This window comes from Homo sapiens, chromosome 6, assembly GCF_000001405.40.
Source record: "Homo sapiens chromosome 6, GRCh38.p14 Primary Assembly".
NCBI lineage: Eukaryota > Metazoa > Chordata > Mammalia > Primates > Hominidae > Homo > Homo sapiens.
This window is the reverse complement of record NC_000006.12, coordinates 70,142,205-70,154,901: the sequence shown is the minus strand read 5'-3', so window position 1 is coordinate 70,154,901 and position 12,697 is coordinate 70,142,205. Positions and strand designations below refer to the sequence as shown.

At 38.3% G+C, this 12,697-nt stretch overlaps 1 protein-coding gene across 8 annotated transcripts in view; it reads right to left on the bottom strand.

Annotated features, from left to right (window-relative positions):
* Positions 1-12,697, bottom strand: part of COL19A1 (collagen type XIX alpha 1 chain) — a 345,913-nt gene that overhangs the window by 57,567 nt on the left and 275,649 nt on the right. For all 8 annotated transcript variants that reach the window (NM_001858.6, XM_047418188.1, XM_011535437.3 and 5 more), the window contains 9 exons: positions 12,082-12,135; positions 10,639-10,692; positions 9,895-9,984; positions 8,199-8,243; positions 8,013-8,090; positions 5,163-5,198; positions 4,998-5,051; positions 4,857-4,910; positions 3,464-3,505 (listed from right to left, as the gene is read on the bottom strand). In NM_001858.6, the coding sequence (NP_001849.2) occupies positions 3,464-3,505; positions 4,857-4,910; positions 4,998-5,051; positions 5,163-5,198; positions 8,013-8,090; positions 8,199-8,243; positions 9,895-9,984; positions 10,639-10,692; positions 12,082-12,135 (507 nt within the window). The remainder of the gene's footprint in view (positions 1-3,463; positions 3,506-4,856; positions 4,911-4,997; positions 5,052-5,162; positions 5,199-8,012; positions 8,091-8,198; positions 8,244-9,894; positions 9,985-10,638; positions 10,693-12,081; positions 12,136-12,697) is intronic.

Below are 12,697 nucleotides of genomic sequence, written 5' to 3'. Positions count from 1 at the left end.
AGAATAAAGCAGGCAGAAGGTGGAAGGGGTTGACTTGCTGAGTCTTCTGGCTTTCATCTTTCTCCTGTGCTGGATGCTTCCTGCCCTCAAACATAAGACTCCAAATTCTTCAGCTTTGGACTCTCAGACTTACACTAGTGGTTTGCCAGGGGCTCTCAGGCCTTCGGCCACAGACTGAAGGCTGCGCTGTCAGCTTCCCTACTTTTGAGGTTTTGAGACTTGGACTGATCTGCTACTGGCTTCCTTGCTCTTCGACTTGCAGACAGCCTATTGTCAGACTTTACCTTGTAATCACATGAGTCAATTCTCCTTAATAAGCTTCCTTTCATATATACATATATACTATTAGTTCTGTCCCTCTAGAGAACCCTGATGAATACATGAGGCAAATCATCTCAAAAATGCTGGGTTACAGCAATCCCATTACTGGGTATATACCCAAAGGATTATAAATCATTCTACTATAAAGACACATGCACACGTATGTTTATTGCAGCACTGTTCACAACAGCAAAGACTTGGAACCAACCCAAAAGCCCATCAATGATAGACTGGATAAAGAAAATGTGGCACATATACACCATGGAAAACTATGCAGCCATAAAAAAGGATGAGTTCATGTCCTTTGCAGGGACATGGATGAAGCTGGAAACCATCATTCTCAGCAAACTAAGACAAGAATAGAAAACCAAACACCGTATGTTCTCACTCATAAGTGGGAGCTGAACAATGAGAACACATGGACACAGGGAGGGGAACATCACACACTGGGGCCTGTGGGGGGTTGGGGGGGGTAGGGGAGGGATAGCATTAGGAGAAATACCTAATGTAGATGACGGGTTGATGGGTGCAGCAAACCACCATGGCACGTGTATAACTATGTAACAAAGCTGCACGTTCTGCACATGTACCCCAGAACTTAAAGTACATAAAAAAAATGCTGGGTGAAAAAGCTCTCTTCATGGTGGTCTTTCTTAGAGTCTGAATATATAAAAGGGAACTAGGGTTATATGCAATGTTTCCCAGATGAATTTTACCACCTGGATTATTTCACAGGTGGTAATGTGTTGGCAGGGGAGTTAAATATATATATTTATAGAACTATTACTGACACCTGAAAAACTATGAAGATAAAGAGACACTTGAGAACTTAAGAAAAACAAAATGATTTCCATATTTCAAAAAGTATGAAAAAGATAATTATCTGCAGACACAAACATGGCATCTCAATATGGAGCAAAACCTTGGCATATCAATATGGAGCAACATTTTAGAATAGATTATTCAATAGACTGTTTAAGTGAAACATTAAAAAATGATAATCATTATGATAAACATAATTTTTAAGAGTCATTTGAAACTGACTTCATTTTCTTTGGGTTAGGGTTACCAGAATGGCAAATTTAAATAACTGAGTTTTGTTAACATTCTTGGAAAAATGTCTTAAGATTTTCTCATGGAAAGAATAAAGATGCATCAATTATTAACCAATACACAAAGTCGTTCAAAGAGGGATTGATATGCTGATTAATCTAGAAGAAGGCCTTTGAAGGTGCCTGTAATTATGCCAGTTCTTTTTAATACTTTAATCAAAGATATTTTTGCGAACAGAAAGCAGGATGATCAAATTGTCTAAAGACTCAAGGCAGAGAGAGATAGTGTTAACATATAGGGTAACAAGATCAGGATTTAACATGATGTTATTACATTGGCATGACAGATCCAACCCACAGTCTAAATTCCTGTATTTGGATTTTGTTCGGGGAACTACATACCTCCCCTTTCTTCTATTGTATACAGTTTGTGGAGACTATCAGTCAAGATGTCCTGCTCGTTATGGACTCAGAACCTTAGTGAAATGATGCAGGGATTGGTGCAATGGCAGAGCACACTCATTAGAGGGATGATTCCCGGGCGAGATTGTCAATTAGTTCCACTTCTGAGAGCCCTGGTTCCACTTCCCGTCAGAGCCTATTCATGGTCCTTTTATCTGTTCTGTGAGATCCCATATTCTACCAGTATATTCATTTCTACTAAAGCATACAAGTTTCTCATCCTTAAAGAACCCTAAGTATTCTGAAATGATATAACTCCGGCAATCCTGCTATTTCCAGCACCACTGTCTTGTAAAGAATCTAGGACTTAATGTCTGAGGACCTATGTTCCTGTGTTAATGTTACATTTACTTGCTCTATGACTGAAAAAGTTACTTAACTGCTGAGAACTTCTGGTCTCTCATCTATAGAGTGGGAATGCGCAACAGCCTGAACTCATAAGATTATTAAGGAAATTAAATAAGATGATATAAGTAAAGTGGCATATTGAGTGGCATGTAATTTTAACTCAATAAATATAAGATTTTCCTGAAATCCCCACAAATATTCTTCTCTGGCTTATAAAAACTGCTGGTTTTGGAGGTCTTAGAAACTCCTTTAATATATTTTTATATTTATATTCATATTTACACTTATGTTTATATATCTATTCTCAAAACTCTACCTTACAAATGTATATGCCGGAACTCGAGTCTTTTGAATTCAATTAAACAAATATTTCTGCCTGCTTACTATTGTGCAAATAATTGTGTAAATCACTGGGCTAAATGCTAGAAATACAAACTAAATTATATATATATAACTGTAGTCTGTGTGTGTGTGCGTGTGTGTGTGTACACATACACAACGTCCATTCATACAAAGACAGATACAACACACTGTGTTTGAGTATGAAGTCAAGGGCCTGATTTTCATGTGGCCTCACTCAATCTTAGCATATCAGGCAGAAACATGCAAATACATACCCTTACATATGTGCCATTATCATCCCCCCCTACCTGTTTTACTGATAAAATACAGGGAAGTGTTAGAGATAAAAAAAAAAAAGAGGTAGCAAGATTAATTCCCTGAGACGATAATAGGTAGAGGTGATTTTTATTGAACAGAGTAACAGGTATTAGGGCACTTGTCAACTGTGGAATTTTGTAAAATCCTATGACATCAAAATTCAGCCTTGTAAGTGGCTATTTATAGAGCAGCACTGATTTTCATCTTGGGACTGACCAGGCCAGATATAGCGAGAAAGATTAGGTTTCACAGTAGTGAGCCAGGGTGAGTCAACACCCATTAAGAGAAAGATGTTCCTCCAGAGGAGAGAATAATCTACTCCAGAGTGCTAATGACATAATTCCTTCCCTGTAGCCAATTCATAACTATCCTACCAGCTGCCCTCCACCCCTGCCCCACCCAAAATGAGAGGCTGGTAAAGAAGAAGAGAGTGAAAGAATTAGGATAAATGGCACAAGATATATAAGATACATGTTTATTTTCCTATCTTAAAGATGTCCTGCCATTTAAAAATTGAATTTTAGTTCCAGCTAAGCAATTGACTCAATTTCTGCTAAATATTTTTCTTTCTAATTTTTCCTGGAAATTAACACATAATTTCTTACATAGCAATAGAGTACCTTGAGCAAAGCACCGATGTCTCCCAAGAGAGGAAGTGCAATCTGTGGTTAAGAAGATAAAACCAAATACATGCATTTATATATGAACACAATACAATATAAACATACAGTATAATGTAGACATTTTTCCTCAAAATGCCATGAAGCTTCTGGTGTCTCACTTTAGAATCACTGGCTTAACATTATGTTTCGTATAAAGAAATGTGCACATGGCACTGATAGAATTCAGAACAAATTTTGAAAAATGTTCACTATTCTTCTCTCTTGAATGTGCAAACACACATATCATAGTTTTGACTGTGCATCCCTATTTTATATTTTCATGGCAACCTTTATGCTGTCCCTGGTATATCATTGGTTTTAAATAATACATAAAGATAAATTATTTATTAAAAGGAAATCATTCCTCTGGCGAACACACTATCAGGCTGTTGAGAAATATGAAAAGTACCAGATAAGTTTGCCTTAAAGTTATTTCTCATGGAAGTTCAAAGAACCTACAGTTGGCTTAAGTGATAGGCAAGACAAACACTGAAGGAACTTGGGCTACCTTTTGGCCACACGTCTTGAGATGTTCTTTCAGAGAGACACGGTGTAAACCCAAGTAACATTTTTGCAAGATTCCCAGAAAAATGCACAAGTGATTCACTCAACAGTGGCGTTAAAGTAATGCCAAAATATGCCTCCACACATAGCTTATAAAGGCACATAAGGCCCAAACACTGTGGGAGGTAGAAAGGATTTGTGAGGCTTAGAACTGAGAAGCCAGATTTGGATTTTATTATACAAGACTCTTAATACAATGTCATGTACCATATGGCCTCTCAAATTATAACTGCCGAGTCTGAGGCTATTTAAAGGGGTTTCACTGTTGCTCAAAGCAAGGTTTAACCTAAAATAAAACTTTGAAACACACATTTGTGCCTAACCCTTTTTCTAAGAGCCTACTCAAGCCAGTTTTCATAATTTAATCATCGCAACATTTTAAAGCTACAGAATCAATGGATCTATACCATATTGTAGGCAACTTACCTGCAAAATTTCATTTAGAAAAATGAAATTCATTTAGCCACTAGCATTAGAAAAAATAGAAATCGTGGCAATATATTTTATCTCAATTTTCAATGGGATTGAGACATTATATGCCAAGGCTCAGCCTGGGGCAAAATTGTACAGTTGAATTATGCCCTTAGGAAATAAGTATTCATCACACACACAGAAATGCTGATCCAGCCTGAATTTTTTTTCACTCGACAAAATAATGGGGATAAACAAAATCACCAAGCAGTCACCGAGCATTCTAATTAGTTTGGACAGCAAAACTTGCTTGGTAGGCTGTTTGGCTTCTGGGTGCATTTAAGATACATAAATCAGACAAGGTTTGTCTACATACCGGGTCACCTGGGGGGCCTGGCAGGCCTGGCTTTCCATCTCTCCCTGGAACTCCCTGAAAACAGAGGTATCCATGTTCAATCTTTGCACGTGGCACAGGTGCAGATTAAAATGGGGGAGGGTAGATAAAGAAAGTCCTTACATCATTCCCTGGAGTCCCTGGAGTTCCTGGCAACCCAGGGAGACCTCGAGGACCCTGGAAAAGGAGGGAAATAAAAACAGTTACTTATGAGGATGGTCTTTCAGTCATTTCCCCCAAGTAAGCAAGCTGGCTTTGCTGTGCTAAAAAATTAGTTAAATAGCTTACCTGAATACCTGGCTCTCCAGCTGGTCCTTGGGCGCCCTGAGTACAAATGAGATTTTATTATTAAAATTCCACCAAGAATGTCCATAAATTATCCAAGTGACATAAAAGACTAAGCATTGTAGTTTACTTAGAGGAACAACAGGGTTTGCCACCGTACACACGTGGAAAACTGCAAAGTCGGCCAAGACTTTCAGGTCGTAGGTGAATACTTAATCAGATACCTGTTGCTGGAAACATCAACATGATTTTGCTCAGGGACTTGGGACATCTATATCATTACCATAATCTGTCACTGCACATTCATGAGGGCACAAAGAATGCATCCAAATTCCACCTGTCAGAAACTGACCACCCACAGGGGTAACTGGCTCAGGGATTCTTTTCTGCTTTCAACTTTGAGTCATTTATCTCTTGGAATAAATCACCAGAAACAGTGTTCAGTGACAGGAGTAGGAGGTAAAACACTAATCAATGATTTTTTTTTCTACTTTTAGAAAATTAGAATTTCGGATAAATAAAATGAGGCTGGGAGATTATCAGGGAACTTAACGATGGTAGTTGTACCGCTCTTAGGTAACCATGAACTTCTGCATGAGGAATGTTCACCTAAGTAAGTCAAGAGCTGGTTTCTTAGCAGTTGACTTCAGTAACTGCTCACTGATTTTTCTTTTCTTATTTAAATAAATAAATATTCATATCACTGCTCTTGCCAAAGCTACTTTTTCCTCCCTTCCTATTTATCCTGTGTCCCTGAGTGATTTTTTCCTCAACCACCATCACTTCCCTAATAATTTTCTTTTCTTTTTTTTTTTTTAGATGGAGTCTCACTCTGTCACCCAGGCTGAAGTACAGTGGTGCAATCTCAGCTCACTGCAACCTCCGCCTCCCGGGTTCAAGCGATTCTCCTGCCTCAGTCTCTTGAGTAGCTGGTATTACAGGCACCCACCACCACGTTTGGCTAATTTTTGTATGTTTAGCAGAGATGGGGTTTCACTGTGTTGGCCAGACTGGTCTCAAACTCCTGACCTCAAGTGATCCACCTGCCTTGGCCTCCCAAAGTGCTGGGATTACAGGTGTGAGCCACCAGGCCCAGCCTCTAATAATTTTCTGATACAAGTTTTTACTTGGCTTAATTTCCATCTCCAATGTTCTTTTACATTCTTGCCCTGGCAAATCAGACAACCCTCATTCACAACATAACCCTTCACTGCTTATGCTTTCTTTTAACTTTTCATGATAACTTCAATATAAGGATGTGATATTGTGATAAAATAATATGTGTTCTCTGCCCCCAGTTCCTGGCACAGAGCTCCTAAAACCCTCGTAAATTCCTTAACAATAGGTTGCTAACATAAAGTCCTGTTCTAATACTTGTTTTTTGACCCTGGTTCCTGACACAGAGCTCCTAATCCCTTGGGTTTCTTGGGTGATAGGAGAGCCTTTTGTTCCAATGAGGTGACTCTCGGTGGGCTCCTGGATAGGAGCTGATCACCAGAAAGACCAAGCCACAGTTAGAAGCTTGCCTTTCAGCCCACCCCGCGTTCTCTGAAGAGGGGAGAGGGGCTGGAAATATAGTTAATTATCAATCTTGCTGACATGATGAAGCCTCTATAAAATCCCAAAATATGGAGTTTAGAGAGCTTCCAGGCTGGCGAAAACACCCATGTGCCAGGAGAGTGACACACCCCAACTCCGTGGGGACTGAAGCTCCTACACTCAGGGACCCTTCCAGACCTCTCCCTTTGTATCTCTTCTGACTGTTCAACTGTATCGTTTATCATATCCTTTACTGATATCATAAACCAGTAAACGTAAGAAAGCGTTACTTGATTCTGTGGACCACTCTAGCAAACTATAGAACCTGAGGTGGGGGTCATGGAAGCTCCCAGTTTATAGCTGGTTGGACAGAAGTCATGAAGGTCCAGATATGCAGTTGGCCTCTGAAGTAGGGGTCAGTTTTGTGGGACTGAGCCCTTAACCTGTGGGATCTGACTCTTAATCCAGGTAGATAGTGTCAGACATGAATTGACTAATAGAACATTCAGTTGATGTCCATTGGGGAATTGATGAGTAGGGGAAAAAAAACCCCACACAGCTGGTGTCAGAATTGTATTTATGTTGAATGTTAAGAGCATAATATGAAAACAATTAGTTTGTTTTTGTATTACACCACACAGACCAATTTTCTAAATTAATGTCATTAGAATAACCATTTATTTCCACTTTTCTTGTTCAAAAACGTTTTATGTCTTTCCATAGTAAATAAAAATTGTACATTTACTATTATTTGATCTACAAGTGTGGATATAGTGGTCATTATTAATAGGGGCTGTTCTAGGCTCTGTCCTTATAGTTTAAATACTTTAAAAACTTCTCATTATTTATTTTTACCATTGAAAACATCATCTCTTCACTCTGAAGACGTTACTCAGACCTTTTTGGTGTCATTTCACTTATGCATACTCCATCCAGTTTAAATATTAATTTCTTGTTTTAACTTAATTAAAAACAAGCTGTAATATATATTGACCTAATATTAGGCATTCTTACTATCTTACAAACATGTATTTGTGCTTTTTAATATATAGAATAGAGGTATAAGGGTTAAATGACTGCTTCTAATCCAAACTTAGTGTATGTGTGACCAGCATCTGTAAGTTAATAAACAAACAGTGGGTACTGTCTCTGTGCTTAAGTGATACAACCTCAATGCTGATCAGTCATCTCTGGATAGTGTTTATTTGTATTTCCGTCTCTGACCTTTCTATTCTTTTCTCCTTGTTAAAATTTGACACTGGATTTTGTTTCACAATGTTGGAATCAACAAGGACTCGAATGAATTTCACTTACTGTTCTGCCAGGAATTCCTATCCCTTGTGGGCCTATGTCCCCTGGGGAACCGTGAACACCTGGAAGTCCTCTTTCACCCTGTGAAATGAAAGGCTTCTGTTACTGCAAGGCTCAAGAGACATACATTTTTCTGCTGTATTTTGTTAATTATTCATTCCTTAAAAATTAACTATAATATTTGTATACCTTTGGCCCACGTGGACCAGGTGCTCCAGGATTTCCATCTAATCCCTAAAAGAAAAAAAGTATGAATACATATCTTCTTCTAGAAAAGTTATAAACACATTAGAAGTTATAACTAAAATATGTTTCATCACTCTTCATCTTGCTTGAATAAATCTTTTTCTATAAAAGAATAAGGAACGGGGAGTAAAAATTTCAATATGTTATAGATTTTGTATAGTTGCTTTAAAATATAAAATATTTTTATTTATAAAATGAGGCACCTGATATTGAGAAATATTATTATTATTTAATACATAAAAAGTTCAAAGGAGATGAAAAACAAAGGCATATAAAACATATTTTAAAAACATTGGTTATTTAGATTTTCCGGCAGTCCAGTTTTCAATGTCCTGGGAATAGTCTGGGTCACAAAGACATTTTCTGCAAATGACAAACCATGATGATATCTGCAAAACCTCTGGAAGAGAAATTTCAGGTAGTTTTTCTGTTTTACAATACTGCCCTAGGAACGTTTATGTTTTAAAACCAGTGTACCTGACTGGGATCCATAGATCTCTACAGAATTCATGCCTAGGATTCAGGGGACCTAGGAATCTTCCAAAATCATATGCAAAATGTTGTATGCATGTATATTTTCTTCAGAAGAAAGCCCTTTGCTTATCAAACTTTTAAGAGGTTTTATCTCTGATTTATAGAGTAAGATGTCTGTAATCCCAGCACTTTGGGAGGCCGAGATGGGTAGATCACTTGAGCTCAGGAGTTCAAGACCAGCATGGACAACATGGTGAAACCCCATCTATACAAAAAATATAAAAATCAGCCAGGCTTGGTGGTGTGTGCCTGTTGTCACCACTATTCAGGAGGCTGGGGTGGGAGGATCACTTGAATCCCGGAGGTGGAGGCTGCAGTGATCCATAATTGTACCACTGCACTCTAGCCTGGGTGACAGATTAAGACCCTGTCTCAAAAAAAAAAAAAAAAGAAACAATAAGATGAATAGATGAATATTTCTTTTTTCCCCTGACTTTTATTTTAGGTTCAGGGGTATATGTACAGGTTTATTACATGAGTAAATTGCATGTTGCTCAGGTTTATTGTGTGAATGATCCCACTACCCAAGGAAGTAAGCATAGTGCCTGACAGTTTTTCAACCTTGCCTCCCTTCAACTCTCCCCCATCAGTAGTCCCCCATGTCTTTTGCTCCCATCTCTACTATGTTGGTGTGCAACCAATGTTTAGCTCCCACTTATAAGTGAGGACATGTAGTATTTCGTTTTCTGTTTCTGCATTAATTTGCTTAGGATAATGGCCTCTAGCTATATCCATGTTGCTGCAAAGGACATGATTTTGTCCTTTTTATGGCTGCATAGTATTCCATGGTTGTATGTATCACATTTTCTTTATCTAGTCTATTGTAGATGGGCATGTAGGTTGAATCCATCTCATTGCTACTATGAATAGAGTTGCAATGAACATACGAATACATCTGTCTTTTTTGTAGAACTATTTATTTTCTTTTGGGAAAAGAAACCCAGTAGTGGGATTGCTAGGTCAAATGGTAGTTCTGTTTTAAGTTCTTTTTTCCTTTTTTTGCAGACCTAAACTTATTCCCATACTTGTGATCTGAAACTAGGAACCCACAAGTAGTAATTAATGAACTTGCAAGAAAAATATTAACAAAAGGGCTAATACTTACTGGTTCCCCTGGCAGGCTTTTCCCTGGAGGACCAGCCTCACCTTTTGGACCTGGAAGCCCGGGAGGGCCTATGATCCCACCCGGATCTCCCTGTAGAAAACAAGGTAAGATTCTTACTTTGATGCTCAGGTTCATGGTGGGAAGTGAGGAGGTAGTGGTTTCCATTGTTTTAAGTTGTCATCATAGCCAGTCAAACTTCATTCATTCACTCACTCACTCACTCACTCACCAACTCACTCAATAATATTTATTGAGTACCTAATTCATGCCTGTTCAGTGCATTTAGATTTTGCAGTTAGTTATGTTAGCAGTATCATGAAACATATGCATGTGTATGCACAAAAGGGCATATCTATTAATAAATTTCTATAGACGATCTTTATGTTTTCTTTAAGTTATTCTCCAATAATGGTTCAACGTTAATGCACTGTTTCCATGTAGATATCAAGAAACAGATCCTGCAAGATTAAGAGACTTCTTAGGTTTATACCAGGATTGGTAACTGAGCTTGACTTTCAGACTCCTGATATCTTCATCTGTCAGTTCATTTTGTCACATGGCATTCCTGTGCCAGAACCAGGGCTGCCAAATGCACAACTCTAGGGGGTGCCATTTACATTGTAGTTAATGTGCACAATCTGTACAATCCCAGAAGCCCTGGGCTGTCCTTTCATCTCCCTTATGATCCTCTGTCTCTTCCTCCTATCTACTTAACATATAAAATGAGGAAAATGTAAACTATACCTTTTCTCCTTTAATGCCTTGTTTTCCTGGGATACCATGTTCTCCTGGCAATCCCTAGAAAACTCAGAGTTAATAGGAAAGAGTAATGAGAACATCTCTTACAATAACATTTCCCTATATCTGTGAATCTCTGTCAAGAGAACAGAATTTTAACATATAACCTATTAATAGAAGGAGTTGGATTGATTTTGGCCTTTAAGACCTGGAAAAATATTAGTGATTCTACGTGGTTTGTTGTTTCAAGTGAAGCCACCTGGATGCCATAGGAAAGAAACTAAAGTCGAATTGAACCGAACGTCTCACCCATATTATTGCCATCGAGGAAGGATGGTGGTTGGCAGCATCACATAATGATTCCAAAGAACTCTAGGGCAACTAGAAAAATATATTTTTACTATGTTTTAGAAACAGTGGCTCTTTCCCTTTAGATTTTGTTCTTTTTATAGCTCTGGCCACTATCACTTAGTCTCAGTTTTTGAGCATTGTGGCTCCACTTGTGCCACCAGGATTATCTCTCTTTTCATAAGATCTGTCCACTAGGTTTATCTACAGTGGCCCATTACTTGGCATAGGGGAGTGATCAAAAGCTTTGCTCTATAAACTGGGTGTTCAAAGTACCAAGCAGAATATGTGCACCGACTAGTAGACAGGAGAGGCTCAAGCGGTGAGCATGGAGAATAGAATGTGAGGTTAAGGGGCTGTTCCCAGGGCATGAAAAAAGGAGAGATCCTAAGAGTTGCCTGGAGGGAACTCTAATCATAGTCAGATAGTGATCAGTCTCCAAGGAGTTATGGCCAAGGATTTTTCTTATTTTGCTCAAGTGTGAACTGATGGAGAGCTCGCAGCTCCCAAGTTGTCAGAAGGCTAGAAAGTTGTCCAAGGAACAAAAAGCTGATCCGGATAATGAATAGAAAGGTGTATTGAGTATTTTAAGTCCACTAAAGCTAGGTTATAATGCAATCTGTCGATCTTCCTCCAGACATACTTTTAGCCAAAAGACTTGCTTTTTTTGGAAGGCTTTTGCTAGAAAATGATAGAAGCTTTCGAAATGTCTTCCTTAGATGGAGACTTGAACTAAAAACTGTGAATATTGAAAATGTTTGCTTTCTCTTTTGGTGTTCTTTATTTCTTTTGACATTTCCAATCTCCTCTACTGCTGGTACAGCACTGACAAGCATGTCCAAAATGACAATTTGATTAACTTGAGCTCCAAAAACCAATTTATTAGGCTAATGATACTCAAAAGGACCTCACATGATTATATGAAGGGTCTAGTCTTCCCAATAGCTCCTGACATTAGGTATGATCAGTTTTTGTGGCATAGATGACCCATGTCTTTGGGAAATGAGGGATAACTCAGTTACTTGAACACATGTTGATGTTTTTAAAAACATGTCCTAGTCTCAATTTCAATTCCAGAAATATCAAAGACATTATACATACAACATCTCCTGGCGGTCCTCTGGGTCCCATGGAGCCTGCAGATCCTTGCTGACCCTAAAATAAAAGGTGGTATATACTTTAGCTTTGCTAAAAAAGAAAAAAAAAGATAGATTGTACCTGAGTATTTGTAAAGAATAGTGTGATCTTCATGTATAGGAAGACCAACTTTCCACCATCCCACTTTCCCACTTTATCTGTATAATACTGAAATGTGCTTTGTGATTACCAAGATAGTTTCCAGATACTTTTAATTTATGTGTTCTCACCAGCAGGTGATACCTGGTAACTTGCCCTACCCATTGTCTGGGAGTACACCACATTAATTTCTCCTGCATTTTCCAAAAGCTGCTCTCTTGGGACACTCCTGTGGAATCCCACTTGGGAAACTCAAGCAACTCAACGTTGCATAATTTTGGTTTAGAAACTGAAACTTGAATTCTGTTCCTTTTAGAATATAGCTCAAGGTCGTAGATTTAGCTCACATTGTTTACTCTTAAGGCTTTTAGGGATGCTATTGTGAATATGCTCTGAAAAAGAGTATAGAAATCCTATTGTGAAAACCAAAAGACAGTTACTATGCGTGTAATAAATGCAGCCAGTGGGGAAAATCACCATG